Source organism: Homo sapiens, chromosome 15 (assembly GCF_000001405.40).
Source record: "Homo sapiens chromosome 15, GRCh38.p14 Primary Assembly".
NCBI lineage: Eukaryota > Metazoa > Chordata > Mammalia > Primates > Hominidae > Homo > Homo sapiens.
Window position 1 is genome coordinate 20,668,452 of NC_000015.10, and position 20,853 is coordinate 20,689,304.

The 20,853-nt window shown below is 31.1% G+C and overlaps 1 pseudogene across 1 annotated transcript in view; it reads right to left on the reverse strand.

Annotated features, from left to right (window-relative positions):
- Positions 1 to 1,016: 1,016 nt before the first annotated feature.
- NBEAP1 (neurobeachin pseudogene 1) overlaps positions 1,017 to 20,853 on the reverse strand; it is an 86,684-nt pseudogene continuing 66,847 nt past the window's right edge. The window contains exons 2-3 of the transcript NR_027992.1: positions 2,662 to 2,817; positions 1,017 to 1,186 (exon numbers count right to left, since the gene is read on the reverse strand). The product of NR_027992.1 is annotated as a neurobeachin pseudogene 1 (transcript). The remainder of the gene's footprint in view (positions 1,187 to 2,661; positions 2,818 to 20,853) is intronic.

Here is a 20,853-nt window from a genome sequence, read left to right on the forward strand (position 1 = left end):
GCCCAGATAGCACCACTGCACTCCAGCCCGGGTTACAGAGGGAGACTCCATTTCAAAAAAAAAAAAAAAAAAAAATTGGAAAATGCTATTTTTCCTTATCAAAGGGATTATTATAAAACTATAATATTCAATGTTATTGTGAGCACGCTAAAGGAAGTACTCTAACATACTACTGGTAAAACTAAAATAATATGACATTCCTGAAAAAAATTTAAAATATTTGTCATTAGCCCCTTTTTCAGTAATTTTAAACAAATCAAAGATGGAGGTAAACACATATATATATGAGAGAATCCTCTAATATGTATAAAATCAAAACTTTAGAAACAATGTAAATGGTACATCCTCTTACATTACTACATTGAGCTGAGAAAAGGACAAGATAGAAAAATTGAGAAAATCTCAATTTATAATTAAGAAGTTTAAATATTTTTATATATGTATGCAATGAGAAACACTGGAAGAAAACATGCCAAAATCGTATCAGTAATTATTCTTGGGGTTTGGGCCATAAATATATATCTTCTTCTGTATTATTTATTTTCTTTTTTTTGTATAATTAGAAAAACTGGCTATATTTTCAAAACAAAAAAGATATCACAGTGAAGAATTAAATTAGTTTCCACTACAGTCACAACAAAGGATAAATCTGGAATAAAAATATGAAAACATGTAACAATCTGAAAATGTTGAAAGCAACTGATGTACTAGAACACACTTACCAATATCATTTAACTGTTTTTAATATTATAAATGTGTCTTCCTGAATGGAAAAAGGCATACAGGCTAAAATAAAGACTATTGTTGCTTTTTACCTGATTTTATTCCAAAATAATTTAATATTGAAAAGCCCTAAACTTCTTTACCACAAACAATTCTCAATATGTCAGTTTGCTACATAAGAAAGAAAACATTTCAGTGATTTCATAGTCATGTACACGGCTCACACTTTAACAGTACTCAGAATACAGAATATTCATAGGCAAATGTAAATACAGTGGAAGTGTTATACATACCTAATCCTTTAGGTGTAATGCCACTACTGTCAGCAGGATTAATAACCCAGTAGTAATATTTTAAGGTGTGCATTATCTTTAATAACTGTTCCTATTCTGCATATGGTGGTGTAGATGGTAGCAGTTCCAATAAATTCAGCAGACAAATATGTATATAGGGAAAGTTGAACCTAATACAGAATATTAACAGATCATTAAAATGAACTTAAAATGCCTCAAGTGCTTATATTATAAATATGCATTGTTTTAATTTAAACGCAAATTAGTAAAGGCCAAGAAATGATCATTTATTAAGAGGTTAAAAATAACTTTCTTCTTCAATATTATTTATATTTTAAAAATATATAGCCAGGCGCGGTGGCTCAGGCCTGTAATCCCAGCACTTTGGGAGGCTGAAGCGGGTGCATCACCTGAGGTCGGGAGTTTGAAAGCAGCCTGACCAACATGGAGAAACTCCATCTCTACTAAAAATACAAAAAAATTAGCCAGGCACGGTGGCACATACCTGTAATCCCAGCTACTCGGGAGGCTGACGGAGGAGAATGGGCTGAACCAGGGAGGCGGAGATTGCGGTGAGCCGAGATCGCGCCATTGCTCTCCAGCCTGGGCAATGAGAGTGAAACTCCGTCTCAAAAAAAAAAAAAAAAAAAAAAAAAAAAAAAAATATATATATATATATATATATATATATAATCTGCAATTAACGTTTTCTAATAAACTTATTATAATAAGGTAGTCTAACAGCTGTGGCAATTAAATAATTTTAAAATGATTAATTTATTGAAATTAATCTGATAAAAAGATTAAAATATTTTAAAAGTCAACTAAAGCTCTTAAAGTATATTTCAGTAGCTTTCAGTGTATAAATTTCTTCATAGCAACAGAACATCAGTCAGCTAAAGCCTATCTGAAAACCTATACATTTTTGTCATATATCCTAAAAGTTCATGCAATTTCAAATTCTCCTCCCCTGTGGCCATAATATATATAGTTTGCTTTCACAATCTGACCATGTGAGCACAGAGATGGCATGTCAGACATCTTGCTTAAAAGAGTTCTCAAAATTAAGATTTGGGCTTAGGCAATAATAAATAACTCAGGGAGATATTATTAAACTGTAAAAGATAGCTCAAAATCAAAATATCCCTCATTATTGATTTCCACTAAGACTAAATTCTGGTATACAAAATAATAAGAATTTTCTGTTATTATCTGGAAAAATATTTATTTCATGTATATATTTATTTTTAAGTGAGTATTATTTACATGTAATGATATAAATTCTGCCTTCAAAATGAAAGCAATTTTCCAGCAAAATGATTACAGTCATAATACAATTAGTTATCTGTTCTCTTTCCTAGTCTTTCAAAAATTGGTATAGCAAATTCTCTTCATTGGAAAAGTATGTATCACATCTAAAGATGTTAGAATGCAGTGTTACACAAAGATTCTTTTTTACCTATAGTTTCATTTATTTTACTACTTATAAATATTTTGATCTCCTGATACTGCCTAACACAATTGCTGCAGATTAACTATAAAATAAGCTAAAATGTTCAAATGTTTTCCACTGGATACTTTAGATCCAGCAACTATAATGTATAACATTACACTAAAACAAACTGAATAAGTATAAAACTCATACCTTTGCAGGTGTATGTATCCAGATGGCTGGGTTAATAAACAAAATATGATCACAAAGCTGCTTCAGCAAAGGTACTCCATGAGATAAACCATCAAGGTATTTTGCAAAAGATAAAAATTGCTCCAAGACAGGTCTAGTTATATGAACTCTTGATGACTAAGAAAGAAAACAGAAATTCTAGCTTGAAATATCCAGAATATTAAATTGTATAATTTCTGACTTAGCATAAGCACACATGAATTTTTCATATGCTATCACTAATAAATATGAAATACATTTATATTATTTGCTATTAAAATATAATTTTATTAAGAGATCTAAAATTTTAGCTATTTCTTTGAGTGATAGCTTGTTATTTGAAGCCTAATCTAAGACAATTACAGATAAATAATTCAAGTTAAATAATGCTACTATTAGCTAAAGCTAAAGAAATGAAATGTTATAAGAATGGCTTCATTTCATTTTTTGTAGAAATTGACATATAAGAAGAAATCTTAGACATAAGAATAGAGATTGTTTAAAACATGTAAAAATATTGCTTAAAAATATGTAAAATATTGCTTAAAATATTATTTCCTTGGTCTGCTCTTCATAAATACCGTATCCCTGGATGATATATTATGCTTTCACAGCTTCATATAACACTATGTCTATGCTGAGTACTCACTTCAAGAATTTTCAACTGCTATCACCATATACCTATTACCAATGGTATTTAAACAACAGACTCTCCAAAATTGAAACCAAACCTTAAAGCTGCACCATCTCATACAGTAGCCAGAAGCCCTATGTGGCAACTGAGCTGCTGGAATGTTGCAATTGAAAGTGAGATGTGTTGTGAGTATGAAAACACTGGGTTTTTCCAGCTCAGAATATTTTTAAAAATCGTATTTTCTTATTGAATAGATGTTGAAATAATATTTTGCATATTATCAAAATAAAATACTAGACTAAAGACATTATTAAGATTAATATAACCTGTAATTTTTTACTGGAAAATATTAAATTGCACCTGAGGTTTGAATTGTATTTTAATTGGACAATGCTATCCTAGAATACAATTTCAGATAAAAATGCTATATTAAAAAATGCTCTTCACAAAAGCTGATAATTCAAACTCAAACTTCAAAAAATATATCTTCCGACACAAATCTTTTCTTCCTCATCTAGTGATACAGTTTTGTAGTATCACTATCCTTTCAGTCATAGGGTAAAGAATCATGTACCACTCAACCCTAAAGCACACATCACACAACACATCTTTCCTTCCTATTCTTCACTGACTGAAGTCTGAATATAAGTTTAAGACGATCAAAATTTAAAAGGGATGAAACTGTCTTACCAATTTTACCTCCCATATGATTTAGCTATATTTCTCATGATCATAAGGACAACTCAATAAATTTGACTTAAACACATCATGAATTTTCACACTTCTACATAAAAGGTCACAAACTAAAATGATTGCAAATAACTAACAACAATGTGTAAACCAGTGTAGGAGACAAAAAAGAGTGGTGAGGAACAAAACTAAACCTTTTTGTTGAGTCCCACAGAATATTACTGTGGGCCAGTTTCACCCACAGGACACATTTTCTTCCCCTGCTTTCTCTGTCTTGCTCCCCCAGTTTGTAACACCCTTGCATACATTTCCTTTACCTTAAAGGTAGAGCTCAAGACTTTTATTTTAGTCATTTAGAAAATATACATGCTGATTGCTCACTGTCAGTCAAATACGCTCCCTGGCACTGTCAAAAAAGCAGCTAACAAAATTGAAGTAAAAACTCTGTCTCACAGAACATATTCTAAGAGATGATAAGGCAGGAACACAGAGTAAATAAAATAAAAAGGTACAATATGTAACATGTTAGAGGTTACTAAGTTCAATGAAAGAAACTATGGAGCAGATAAAACATTTGTAGAAGAATGGTGAACAGGTTTTACTAAGAAGGGGCATTTAATTGGTTCAAATTATTATAAGGTTACAAATAATTTAGTATTAATATAATAGAATTCTTTGTCTGACAAAATTACCAATGGTGCTTACATAAGCAATAGCCTACAAAATTCAAAGCAAACCTTAGTACATAATTTTCACTGAAAATTTTATGAAAGATGGTGGAAATCAATCTAAATAAATAGCTGAGTTAATAAAGGAGGGGAACCAAAACAAACATTTGAGTTTAAAAAGTAAAGATTGAGTATTCATATTTAAAGGAGTATCAGTGAAAATAATATAGTACTTTAAATTAAAAATATTTTATTTGTAAAGGAATAAAATTAAAATAAGAGATCAATAGTTATTTAAAACTTCAGCCAGCTCCTTCACTAAATATAATTTCACATAGCTTATCTTATACATTCTATTTTTATTCAGTAGTAATGATTTCAAGAACATGATCTGATAACATTCTACTCTCACACTTAAAACTCTAAAATAAAATACAGTCAGATCCTGTTTATAGATAAACATACTATGTGACCAGACTGTAGCTCATAAAAATTATTCATCATGTCCTTATAAAGAACATTAACCTGTATTATAAAATCAGGCTGACCATTATAAACATATCCACTTGATGAATTCATAATATAGAAACAAGTTTGGAACTTGGACCATGATATTAAAAGGTATACTAAAAGCATCACAAGGCCTTCCACATTACTTAAAAAAAAATGGGGGGGCCTGCTGTTTTCACATAACAATTAATGCTGTTGGGTGGCAGATTTTCATTCTAAAATTATTCTTTAGAAAATATTTTATTGTCTTTTTATTGATCTCCTCAAAATCCTACTATTCTGGATTATAAATAGTGTATAAATGTATAAATGAATATTCTCTTCAACAGCATGTTACCTTTACCTCTTAGAAGTACTTATTCCTCCTTCCTTGTATTATTGTTAGTAAAAAAAAAAATCTCTCTTTCGTAATATAAGAAAGAATATTATCTTATTCATCTTTTGTCTTCCTGATCCCTACCCTAATTTCTCAGGGAACATTTAACTGAAATAATGTCAAATTCAAAAATGGAGTAAGAATAGAATAGGTAGGAAAAAACAAAGCCTGGGAAGAGAAGAAAGAAGATTCTAACTCTGCTTTTAAATGTATTTCATTTGATTAACAGTTTCAAAATATTTTTATATTTTGGTATTTGTTTTCATTTTCTCAAGTAAAACTACTTTAAAAACAGATCTACACTTGGATAATTTATAGTTATAAATCTGTAACCTTTAGATGGAACAATTTAAATCTCATAGAAAATGTAAGCCCTGGAATTTGATCTATATATTAATTTTATGTGGTGACAGAATACATAATTTTTAAGAAGTACTATAATGTGACATGGCTAACCATATTTGGAAATAATACCTGAGAAGTTATAAAAATAGTTGCATTATAGCATCCAATCCAGAATTAACTAAACCAAATAGGAGCACTGGCGGTTACAAAGAGAAACTTCTGTTCAATAAAGAGAGATTGTTCCAACATTTAGATTAGCCTATAATGGAACAGGTTATCAGAAATGTTCATTTTTATTGTAGAAAGCATTATACATACACACACATATACCCATAACATGTATGATTATATATTCAATAAATTGTGTAAAACTATTTTAATTGTAGAGGTACACCATAGTCTATTATCCATTCTGCTCCTCCCAGGACTCCAAGGTTGTGCTCCAAATAGCCTAATCCAACCAGATTAATCATTTGTTGTTGTTTTGGTGGAGTGATGGGGAGGGTGGCAGGCAATGATTAGTTCAGAGACTCAGTATCAAAGTGTAGCATAGCAACAATTGATTCAAAAGAAGGCCAGCCAAGCTCTAAGCTAACCAATCAAATTGGAGAGAAGAATCTTGCTCAGTAATTGACAGAAAGGAGCTTGCTTTCTTCACCTGGATGTGAAGGTCTATAGCACTAATTCTCTCTGGCAGCCTTGTGACCTCAAACAGTATCAGCTTTAGCATAAAATCAACACTGTAGCTGGTACAGCAGAGATATAGATAAAACCTGGGTCTCTGATGACATTATTGAGACTCAGATAACCCAGCCCTGAAACACAACTTATGTTTGCTGCTTTTCCAACCTTTTGCTGCCTTTCCAACCTCCCTGTCCTGTTTTAATGCTTGGGACGCTCCCTTGCCTACTGGTTTCCAGTTGAGTTTGACTAATTGAAGACATTAGCAAGAAATTAAGGGACAGAAAGAAAATGAAGTTGGGTATACATTTTCCAGATTTTACCCCTTCAGTACACTTACACTATACTCCTTTCTTGAAGACCACAGTCCCATCAGGCACCCTTCTTCTATAGCTACAATAACTTTCTCTTTGGGTTATGCTAAACACTTATTCCCCTCATCTCTTCAAATCTTCCCAAGCTCCCTGCTTTCAACTTTTTGAATACCCTTGCATTAAACTCTTCTCAAAAACCTAGGTTGAGTACACCATCTGTTTCCTGCCAAGAATATAACTGATATGCCATCTAACACTAGACTTTGTTACATTAGTATATTTTCTTAATGTTTAAGATACTTTGAATCAAATTTTCTACTAACCACAATCAAAAATATCCTATTGAATATACTGGATAACCTCTAAGTTTTCCACAAGATCATATTTTGGCAAAACAAAACAAAAACACCTTAAAATTTTTTCATGGAACAGTAAAATTGTTATTAATAAAAGGCCTCGCATATACTATCTTCCTAAGATATCTTCTATGACAAGGAGATATAAAAGCTAAGTGGCATTAACCAGTAACCTGTTATTAAGTTAAGAAATTAAAAAATCAAACTTCTATTACCTATACTATTAATACTAACCTGGCCACTGATTATTTAAAAATAACACAATATGAGCATTCCTCTGAGAAAGGTAAAAAAGTTACTGTTTCTTAGGTAATCAGACAAGCATGCAAGGACATTTCATATACTCAATTCAACAACTATTTACTGAGCCCAGCACTGTGCTAGGTGCTGAAGATATAACAATAAGAGGAGACAAAAAAATATATATACATACATATATATATACACATATATATATATATATATATATATATATATATATTGCCCCTGCTTTCATGAAGCCTACATTCTAGCAGGAGGAGGCAGAAAATTGGTAAAAAATATAAAACACGCCAGAATGGTGCTGTAAAATTAGCAGAGTAGGTAAACACTGATGGTTATGGAAGGGATACTAATTTATTTAGAATGATCGGAGAATATTTCTGTGATAAGGCATCATACAAGCAAAATCCTGAATGAAGCATAGAATCAAATTCTGTGAGTATCTGAAGAAAAAGTGATGGAAACAATGGGGGAAGTAAATGCAAAAGTCCTTGGGTAAATTCTTATCATTTTAGTTCTTAAGGGAAAGGCAAAAAGACCTTTGCCTAAAACAGAGAAAGCAAGAGAGTGGGGAGAGATGATGTGAGGTGTAAGGCTTATGACTTCATTATGAGAAGGATGAAGACTTGAATAAGATTTGGCACATTTTAGGACAACTAGTCTAACTGCAAGTGAAAAACGGACTGTAGGTAACCAATGGTGAAGGACGATCATGATTTGAACTAAAATGGTATCAACGGACATAGTAAGGAGTTGAGAAATAAAGAGGAAGTAGTAATTGATTCTGGATATGTTTTGAGAGTAAAACAACATAATTTCCTGAGAGTTTGGATCTAGAGTGCAACAAAAGTAGAGTCAAAAACAATTAACTTTTTGGTTTCAACTACTTGTTGAATGGTAATGCCACTAAATAAGACAAACAACTCTGAAGGATGAAAAATTTGAGAGAAAAATCAGTCTGGATAATTTAGTCAAGAAGATTACTAGAAATCCAAGTGGAACTAAAAATAGGAGAAACAATTGAGGGTAATTAGTATTTACAGGATCACGGGAGCTGTAGAAGTGGATAATCTCAATTAGAGTAAGGTACTGTGTAGATGGAAAAGTGAAATGCTTTCCAGGATTAATCACTGGGAAAGAAGAGTCATCAGAATTTATAAAGATGAAGGAGAACTAATGAGAGAGAATAAGTAAGAGAAAAACAAAGCAAACCATGGCAAAACACAATGCAAGAAAGCATTTCAAGAAGGAAAGACTGTTCAACCGAAATATTCACAGGTCGAATAAGATAAGGACTGAGAAATAATCACAGGACAGACTGTGAAGGCCACTGGTGACAAAGACATGAGCCATCTGAAAGGACATGGAAGAATGAAAGACAGGTTGGAATAGGAATAGATTTAGGAGTAAGTGAGTGTCCAGGAATATAAGGAAGGTTTAAAATCTGAAAAATAATCAATGTAATTCACTAAGAAAAATGAGAAACATCATACTCATCTCAAATACTGCAGAAAAGATGTTTGATAAAATCCTGTTTATAATAAAGAAAACTCTTAGAAAAATAGAAATAGATAATTCCTTAATTTAACTAAAAAATCTACAAAAACTAATTATTAAAAAGATCATACTTAGTGTCTAATTATTAACAGCATTGCCCATGAGATCAGGAATAAGACAGGGATGGCCACTATCACAACTTTTATTCAACACTGTACTGGCAGTCTTTAGGTGGCATAACAAGGCAAGGAAAAAAATAAAAAAATAAATATTAGAAAGGAAAAAACAAAACTATCATTCTCCGATGTTATTATTGTCTACAAAATTTTTTTTGAAAAAAATCTACAAATGACTAGATTTAATAGAGGAATAGAAAGATTGGTATATAAAAGTTCAACATAAATATCAATTATAATACTATGTACCAGTAACAAATTAAAAATCAAAACTTTTAATTGCTTCTTGGCCTTTTGGGTAAGATCAAGTGCAAAGAATTAAAATTTTAAGGGCATCAAATAATATCAAATATCTGGAAATAAATCCATCAAAAAGACAGAAACTGTTCTATACAGAAAACTACAAAAGAAAATCTAAATTAATAAAAGAATATACCAAGTATATGACTTGAAAGATTCAATATAGGAAAGATGTCAATATAATACAATAAAAATCCTCATGTTTTTTGGTGGAAGTTGATAAGCTGACATATATGGAAATGCAAAGACTCAGAAATGGCCAAGGCAATCGTCAAGAACAACAGTAAAGCTAGATGACATACTCTTAAATATCAGGCTGCACTAAAAAGCTATACAAATTAAAATACTGTTGGAATATTACTTAGCAATAAAAAGGAATGAAAAAAAATATGCTATAACATGGATGCACACTGAAAACATTATGCTAAGCAAAATGGACCAAATACAAAAAGACAAATATTGTATGATCCCACTTACATGAAATATTTAGAATAAGCAATTCATAAAGCCAAAAAGTGAATTATGGATTGACTAGGGGTGGGAATCATGAAGAGATATAGGGAAAATTGGTAAAGGAAATGAATAACAAAGAAGATAAAATATTCATTTTCCATAATTATATATGAAAATGTCTAATCTTATTCAAAATCTAGGAAAAGTGCAAATTAAAACCACAATGAAATAATATTTTGCATCCACTAAATTGACATTATAATATGAAATATTAACATACATTTTTATTTGAAGGCTTTTACAAATATTTCTAATTATAAGCTAAGTTTTAAGTAAAAGAATGTTTAATTTAGGATTTTCTGATACATTCTCAAGTAAACAAATGAAAGCACATTTAAAGGGGTAAGTCCTCACAGAAATCCTGTCACACACAGTAATCTTACAAAGGCATTTCATATGTTATCGAATTCATGTTAAATGTAGCTTATCATACATCTTCTAAACAATTCTTAATACTCTAGATACAGAAAAAGAGTATTCTCTTATTTTAAAAAATAAACCAAAGAGCCTTAAGTTCTTAATAATGTTATGGAAAAAATCATCTCAATAAAGAAATGCTACCAATGATCAATCTTAACAATCTACCACTCTTCAATGCTTAATCCTTAAGGAAAGGTCAGCACTAGTTTCAAAGACATATTTTTTATATATATAACATATATATGTATAAAGACATGTAATATATAAAATATAGCATATTTTAGAACTTGACTCTTTTTGTGACTAAATAATATTCAATTGCATGTATACACTACATTTTGTTTGTCCATTAATCAACTGATAACATTTCAAATGTAAAACAATTGGAGGTAAAATTAAAACTGCTTCAAAGTATGTTCTCAATTTTTTTCCAGAGGAAATGTATGTTTATCCCTTAGTTGAGATCTCACTTCTATTACTTTTCAAATAGTCTCATTTTCAGAGCAGCTGAATATTATAGAGTTAACTAACTGATAAGAGGTTTGAGAGTGCTAATAAAGGGCACAGGTATTTGTCATTAAAAAAAACCACAACATGCTGGCTGGACGCAGTGGCTCACGCCTGTAATCCCAGCACTTTGGGAGGCTGAGGCGGGCGGATCACGAGGTCCGGAGATCGAGACTATCCTGGCTAACACGGTGAAACCCTGTTTCTACTAAAAACACAAAAAAATTAGCTGGGCGTGGTGGCAGGCGCCTGTAGTCCCAGCTACTCGGGAGGCTGAGGCAGGAGAATGGCGTGAACCCGGAAGGCGGAGGTTGCAGTGAGCCGAGATCGCGCCACTGCACTCCAGCCCAGGCGACAGCGAGACTCTGTCTCAAAAAAATAAATAAATACTAAAAAAATAAAAAATAAAAAAACGCTTATTCATGAAATCTCACTAATTTTTAAAGGAAATCACATGATACAACTAAACTCTTGTGAGATCATAATCAGAAATTCAGCACTCATAAAAGCACAGCTGTGACTAAAGCAAAAGAGGTCATAAAACAACATAAATGACACAAAATAGGAAAATGTAAACCCATCTAATTTTTATTGTTTATACTATGTATAGATGAAAAAAACTACTTTAAATAGTCATATATATTAAGAGTAGGGAAAAAGAGCACAAAATAATGTTTCTATTACTACAAAATAAAAATTTTGACCGCATAATTAAAAAATAACACAAAACCTAACAGGTAAATCCATGTATACTAAATATAAAGATTTTTATCTTAATAAAAAAGACTTTCAAGAAACAGTCTAAGGCCAGGCGCAGTGGTTCATGCTTGTAATCCCAGCACTTTGGGAGGCCGAGGTGGGCAGATCACTTGAGATCAGGAGTTCAAGACCAGCCTGGCCAACGTGGGGAAAACCCTGTTTCTACTAAAAATACAAAACTTTAGCTAGGCATGGTGGTACGCACCTGTGATCCCAGATACTAGGGAGGCTTAGGCAGGAGAATTGCTTGATTGAACTCGGGAGGTGGGGGTTGCAGTGAGCCAAGATCGCACCACTGCACTCTAGTGTGGGAGACAGAGTGAGACACTGTCTCAAAAAAAATAAAAAATAAAAAAAAAAGTCTAAGTGAAAAGATAGCAAAGAAACAACTACAGTACTCACTTCTTATCCGGAGGCGATGCTTCCAAGACCCCTAGTGGATGATATATACGATTTTCAGTCTGAGAACTGAGATAGCTACTAAATGACTAATAGGAAGACAGTGTATACTGCATGAAAAAGCTGAGCAAAAGGAGGATTCATGTCCGGACTTGATGAAGAGAGACAGTACGAGATTTCATCACTCTACTCAGAACAGCACACAATTTAAAAGTTATAAATTGTTTATTCCATTTAATATTTTTGAACTGCAGTTGTCCATGGGTAAGTGACACCTTAGAAAGAGAGAGTAGAAATAAAGGGGTACTACTATAGAAAAACTTAAATGATACTTATTGCTTGAATAGATATAGATGAAATTTTTTTCTTTAGTTTTTTAATTCAAAATTTAATTATGCTTCCAATACCCAGTTAATTCCATGTCTACACTTAAATCTAAGATGTTTGTGAGTTAGCAAATAGTATAATCTCTACACAGTCAATGGAAAGTGAAATTATAGAAAAAATATAATTAGTGATTGTCAGCTGTCCAACTGTGAGGCTACACAATAAAACCATCAACACATCACCTACCGTTTCAAGTAATTAGCCAATAACTAAAAAGCCTTTTCCACCCAGCACCTGTTCTTGCATGGCTACTGAACTTTTAAGTAGTTCAACCAGGAATGCCGAAAGAGTAGCACTGCATGTAAAGTACAGATATCATTATGTAATCATCACGTTTATTCTAAACACAGTGCTCCATTTCAGTATTTTATTATGCCAAGAGATAACCATATTCAAATCTAATCTCTATTTTATTGACAATGACTATTATGCCTTATATTATGAAAGAATATATTTCCTGATAAGCATGAGAAAACTAGTGTTGTCCTTTACAAATTAAATATAATAAACTGAATCATAACTGTGTAGTTTTTTTACATTCCAAAGTAAAACATCAAAGTTTATCGCTACATATATTTATAGGTCTGGCTTCAAGTAAACCTAAGAAACATACACATATCATTTTCCATAATAAAGACTGTATCATACTATTCTTTTGAATAACAAGCTATTGTAGAGAATTTTAAATATAGATGCAATATTGCTTTGTAAGAACAAGCCCTATTTTTAAATAAACTTTTCATTTAGAACTATTCTTCAAAAACACTTTGTTAAAAAAAATCCAGAGGAATATGTAACATGTCACTTATGTCCAGGTATGCCCTAAGAAAAGCTCATGAGAGCAAAGAAATGATTTATGTAATATTGAAATGAAAAGTGACAATTACACAGTATATAAACAAATACATAAAGGCAGACAAAGAGGCGTCAAAGATTTAGCACTTGGTATGTCTTTGGAATGAATGAAGAAACAAAATAGAAAGACTGCATTGAATTAAGCTTTGATAATATATTACTTCATAGTTACATATAATGATTTTAACCAGCAACACTGATATATGAATATAGTATTCTGAATAATGGAAATACATATTCCTTCACTGTATATGCTTAATGTAGCTCATAATAAATTGTTATATACCAGATTTTATCAACAATTAAAAGAATATCAATTTACAATGTTTTATAATATACCCTAAATTACCTATTTATATTCATAAGAAAGGGTAAAACCACAAATTTCTAAACATATTTTAAATGCAGAAGTACTCATTCTTACAAGTAATTCAGACAATTTGGTAATAAGGAAAACTTGAAAATTATTAAAGCCCGAAAGGAATCTGAAGTTATTCTAATTTTTGAATTATTCTAGCTCTTCCAGTTTCAATAGGGATAATGTATTTTTCTCATAATGTGGCTACTTTTGTTCAAATCAGAAATGTTCTCATAACAAGAACCAACAGCAAAATTATCATTGTCATTATTATAAAAATTGATAGTTTAATGAATTACATATCAGCTAGACAAAATATAGTATCCAGAAATAAAGTACTTCATTATAGGAAATTAAAATTCAATTATATTAACTGACCCTATATCCTTAAACCACAAAAAATGTAAACTATCACATATCAATGATTTTTTTTTTACTTTGTCCTTAAGCCAAAGATAGACACTTACAAGAAAACTACAACTACCAATGAGTCTCTTGGGATTTTAAAAAACGTTTCTGTAAAGAAGCACAGCTATTAAGCAATCTAGTCCATTTTAAATGAATTGAATAGTCAAGGCCACTTCACAAATAATTGCTAAGTACTATATTACACATAACACATCTGCCTAGATGTGTAAAAAGAATAAAGAAAACCATGCATAGAGGTTACACAATTTCCTAATCTGTTCATAGAATTCTTACATACACCAAAGTTAGTGATTGAGGGAAAATGGATTCCTAAACATGAGCACTGCCAAAAAGAAAGACTAGAAATGCCTCACAGTGGTCCTTATGATCCATGAAAAAAGGCAAAAAAGTATTTTACAGTAAATCACCCTACTATATAGAACCATATACAATTGCAAGGATGACACAGATTTTCTCATTCTTTTATGTCAGAATAACTACTCATTCTCAAATATCTAATGAGTTAACTCAGACCTCTAAACACAGTGGAGCCCTATTATAAAAACTGAAATATTAATATTATTATTCCAAAATCTTAACAAGACTCTGCTATCCATGAAGTATTAATTTCACTTCAACATTAACTAGGACACCAATTGAAATGTCAAATGCATTCACTAACAAAGGTAGTTTCAATTTATACCTAAAACCCAATGCAATAGCAATACCACATCTTTGCAAAAAAAAAAAAAATCTTTACAATAAGGTATAATTGACATGGTGGACGTAATAGTAAATAGATGGCCATCTTCGAAGAGGTACATTTTCAAACATAATTCAACAAACTTACCAGGAACTAAAATGCATCGGATTGTTGCAGGGCTCACAATAAACTTGCAAAATTCTGTGTACTGCCATACAAAATTTCTCTCCATTCTTGCCTATTTCCAACTTCCCTAGATACAAAGGCAAATATAAAAGATACTTCAGCCCATTCCTATATCTCCTACATACAACTTCCTGTCTAGAACGCATCAGTTCATCTGCAGAGGATCTAAATATATACTCCAGGATAAACCAAAAAGCAAGTACTGGTGTCAGCCAAAACTAATACAACATAGAACACTCTCTTGAAAACTATATCAATACCTAGGAAAAGATTTTCAGAGGAGTATTTTATTTTATAGACCAAAAGTATGCTGATTATTATGTCATGATATGTAATTGCTCAACTTTTCAACAGACAGTACTATAACACATGTTCTATAAGTAGCAATTCTACTTCAGGAATGGATGAGAGTTTGTAATCCTGTATCTTTTTAAGGAAAATGATGCTAATAATCTAGTGGGTGTTTTTTCTTAAAAATAATTACCATCTTGTAATTCTTAATAAGCTTAATTTGTTAGAAAATAATGTTTATTTCAAGTATCAGATCGTAAAGGGTTAGACCATGGGAAAAAAATGAAAGAAATAGCATAATAATACCTCTTGTAAATTAGCATATTTATTATTTCTCCAGAGCTTTTTGGCCTTTATTGATAAAGAATGCCACAACAGTCTTGGCCCACAAATACCTGAGAATATTTATTAACTATGTATAAAAACATAACTAACCTGTTTATAATATACATATATTTATATGCCATTAAAATTTAAATATAGATTTTGACTTATTTTACTATAACTTTATCCATTTCAATTTGTATTTAATTTTTTAAAATAACTAATGTAGATATAACTCATGTAATGTGATCCATGAAGTTTTATTATTTTTGAGGTACTTTTATTATTTAGAATTCAATATATCATAAAGATACACCTAATTCATAACTAAAATGATTAAGAGTGAATATATAAACCTAAGTTCTGTTCAAAGGTAGCTCTCTGAAGACATAAACTGGCTATTCAATTTGGTTTTTACTGAAAAAGCAAAGTACCACAGCTAGATTGGCTTTTTAAATAAAGATCTTTTTATTAAGAAGACTGGAAATAACTTACGTAAAAAGTAAAGATTCCCCCCCTAAAATCCAATACCTCCTCCACTTTTAAAAGAATGTTGCAAAGTAATCAAGTAGATTAAGTTTCAAATCGGATTTACGGTTATCAGTAAGGGGGAAAAATCTTTTGACATTTTCAAAACGTTTCATCTCTTAAGCCTAATTTAGGACTGAATTACAGTGAAATATTTTAAAAGATGATTAAAATTACGTAAAATATTTAATATCACAGTTTCTATAGTATTTCTCTCACTACAAAACTCTTCCTAAATAAGTGATCATAGCAGAAATTGACTTCACTGTACATTAATCAATTCAATTCCACACCCAAAACAATTTTGCATCCAAGATAATTTTCAGTGACACAAAAAAACTCACAGTAAGTTCTAAGAGTTAATTTCCTTCACAGTTCAACATTAGAAAGGGCTAAACCATATGCTACAATAGACCTCATGTGATATTTCCAACATGTGGGTTATCTTAGAGTTGGTCTATGATGATTTTCTCTTCCCTTGAGAATAAGTCACATTTTCCTGACCATTTTTAGAATAAGTACTTTTGGATTATATGCTAAATAGTGTGACTATTACTCTGTACAATACTGTAGAGAAACTTTCTGGCCAGAAAGTTTCCTATAAAAGCAAAAAATGGGGATATCAGTCCATGCAGACTGACTGTTCCATATTTTGACTACCCTCGCCTGCTTTTATTCAATCTTCACAATCCTCAGATAGATGTTATCTATATTATGTGCAGAGTTTACAAATGGTTATTTTTGAGAAGATCAGTTTGTTAGGAGCTCACCCCTCTATACAAGTATCAGAAATCCTCTGAAGTGATTTTTAATTTGAGGTTGTGTTATACTTTTTCTCTTATCAGTTAGAACTTCTTTATGATATAGCAAATTATAAAAACTATTATACTATCATATTCATAAATGAAGGAGAGAACTCAAAGCTAAATTTTCAAATATCTGGCCATGAAGACTAACTGCTTGCCACACGGGATTAACAGAACAATGAGAAAATGTCTAGTAATAATTATAAAATATAAAAACTTTGTTAAAATCTGATTTGCAAGCTTATGTCAAAGGGCCACCTCATACACAATCTTGAAGACATTAAATAACCCCAAATAGCCACTGTAAACTTATCTGGCAGTAAATTTTACTATACTAGACAAATCTACAGTGAGATTTTCTGTTATTTTAAATATTTTCTGTATTTCTGTATTTTCCAAAATGAACGGTTTATTTAGTTAATAAGTGATACCCTAACTTATTTACTGTTTCCAGAAAATAACCAAGTACAGAATATATACTGATAAGCTGCAATGCTCAAAACCAAATATCAACAGAAAAAAATTTACCTAGCACTACAGTGACCAACAAGTCAAAATCATTTGTGACAGGCTCCATTGAATATATAGTTTGATGGCATTATTTGAAGGTAGAATTAACTTATTTTATTAATTTTGAAGCCCATATGTTGACATGCTATCTACACTAAGCTCAGAATCATAAATATTGTCTGACCATTACAATGAAAGTTCCATATAACTGAAGGCAATAAATATAAATACTAAGTTATTATACAACACTAAGTAACTTAAACTCCATTTTGTGATTTATCCAAATGTCCATTAGTTAATTATATTCTCTACACCTTAAAAGTTCCGCTGTAGCCCTCTACCCCCCTTCACTCACAGAGAGTGACTTTAGCAAGATAATTTTGACTATGTGTGAACTACTCAGCTTTTCTTCTGTCAAAACACAATCTGATCATTTGCATTCCTCCTTCTCTATGTTCTCTGAATTTCTAAAAAAAAAAAAAGGTTTTTAATATAAAAAATTTTTGCTGATGCCTGTCATGGTGCAATTGTACTTATACTATTTACAAATTGAGGAAATGCATGTACCTGTGGCTTTATCAACCCCCACTAACAACAAGGGGTGCAGTAAGCTGAGAACTTTCAAAACTTAAAAAAATACTCTCTGATGTAATGCCCAAATTTACAGGTATCTCTCTTAAAAGTTCTGACTTTAGGTACTCTACACTGTGTGTTAGGATATTAAGGATACACTACGTCACATGAGCTGTGCACGTATGATGACCGGGTTACTGCTCATTATCACTGTTGTTAAAAAGAATGACGAGAAAGACGTGTGAAAAGAATACTACAAACTACAGAGATTGCAAAGCTGTTCAGGACAAAGTTTGCTTCTCTGTGAATAGAAGAATTACAAAATTGCTTATATTCAGCCCTTTTCCTTGATGTTGCCAGGAAGCTCCCATCAATTCTGAAATTTCACATTAGCAATCATATTGGATTTGTATTTTCTTGATACTCTACCTTTTTATATTTCATTTGTTTGCTTGTCACTCTATTTAATATCATTCTATTAGAGCTTAAAAAGATACTGCAAGCATTTTATGAAACAACTCAAAGAAGTAGAAAAGAAAAGCAGGCAGCATATTAATAAAAAATGTGAATTACAAAAATGTTCCTATGCAAGATCAGCAATGGCAGAACCAGGATGCAAATTCGACAAAAAGACCCATGAAAGAAAAAGTAGCTGGACAAGCACAAATTCATTTCTAGAGCTAGTAGGACAAAAACAAAAATGATATGGAAAATATATGATAGCAAGTATTGTTACCTTGACATAAAAATAATAGCATTATTATCCTTCAATATTATCATGGTTATTAAAGTCACTGAGAAAAAAAGATCTTTTAATATGGGTAAATTCAAACTTTCCTCCCTCGCTCTATATATATATATCCGTGTGTGTGTGTGTGTGTGTGTGTGTGTGTGTGTGTATATATATGTATATATATATATGACAAAAATAAAAACAGAAATACCAATGCAAAAATACAGAGGCCAAAGAGGGAATTTTTTTATGTTTTTCCTTTCCATTACACAATCTTCACATTAATTAAATTGAGTTCAATAAAAAAACCACACTTCCGTACAAGACAAGTACTCCTTCAGAATTATAAACACTTTGACTATAATGTGTAATTCTCTTTCAGCTCTAAGTAGTTTGAGACTTCACAATTCCCAGTGTGATTTAAACAGAACCCTTATATGTTCCCCTAGCCAGGTGTACCGCACATTTAAAACTAACTCATATACGTGCATGCTGTTATCTTACCTAGTCTTTGTTCTTAAAGTTTAAAAAACAGAAAGAATGATAAATTACATTAATTAGTTTTGCTAAATTAGTTTACTCACTACTGTACCTACTTCCTCACTGCAATTAAAGCAAAAATATAAACTAAAATTAAATAATTTCAGGCCCATGAAATATATTATCTTAGATTCCTTCTAAATCTTTAACTCTTCTTTCCAAGTTACCAGTAATATTAACAAGTTCTTTATTATGTTCATTATGTAATATATATTTCAAATTTTTGTATTTTAAATACTACATTAAGCAAAACAGTTTTATAAGATTATTTCAGAATTGTTAAAAGGCATGCTATCAATATTAGAAAATATTCTGAAGAATAAAAAAGTTTATAAAGAGAAAAGAGTTGAGAAAAAAGCACCTTTGAACCGAAAAGAAACATATAATAAAAACTGACTACATTCCAAAAAATAGAAATGACTCTTAAACTGTATTAAAGAAAGATTTTCACTAAAAGTTATATTACATCACATTTTACATCTAAAACGCTCTCTAGAATTTATAAAATTACAGTTATTACTACCTTATATCTAGGTCCTAACTGATGAATTGCAAATATCTGTGCTGGGTTGAGTGCTTCACTGAACGGCAACAAGTTGAGCACAGAATACGCTATTTGCATCAGCAGTTTCTGATGAACCACGAAAGCACTTGTCATAGCTCTATTTTTAAAAGTCATTAAAAATGCATTATTTTTAATGATGAAAAGGTTTAAATCCTTAAATCGGCCTTTAGGAATATTTTAAAATATAACAATAATAATAGAAGAAAGCATCAATTAAGACTTTATTATTTAAATAATAAATGCCAGTCAAGTTTTTTGGGAAAAATGACCAATTACATGTTTTACACTTACATTTAAGCAAACAAAACAATAGCCACCTACTCAGTCTTCCGACTTACTTTTCAAATATTATAGTTAAAGGCAAAATAGCTTATATTTATTTATTTACAAACGTTAAAATAATTTAAAACTGTCATGATGTATAATGATCCATATATAGAGATTGATCTGAATCAAGGGAATGACTATTCCAAAATGTAATCATGAAAACATAGGGTCTAATTTTTTAAATTCAACTTTATTTTTGAAATTATGAATCTATTCCTCTACTCCTCCATATTTAGTAAAACACACAAAGAAAATAAATCCCCGCTCGTGTGTGAGTAGGAACTACACAGAACGAAACACACAATAAGACTATAATCTGCTGCTTAAAGCAGATGGTACAGTGCTCTCCACATTGAGGAATTCAGCACTGAAGAAGTCAAAAGCTTAAGATCTTTCCAGCCTCTACATCTTACACCCCACCCACCCAAACCAGGGAAAGCAGTCATGGCTCAGTTCCCTTCCCCTATCCTCAAAGGCTATTTCACACCTTAGAATGAATAAGCAAGAATCATATATGTAAGAAGTACTTTTGGTCCTTCAATAAAGTAACAAAAAGAATTGTGAATGCATACAAAGGCAAAAAGAACTGTCATCATTAAATACCCAATCTTTAATTAGAAGTATAGGAACTTAAACTTTAACTGCATAAAGTATGTGTCATTATCTAGGAATTC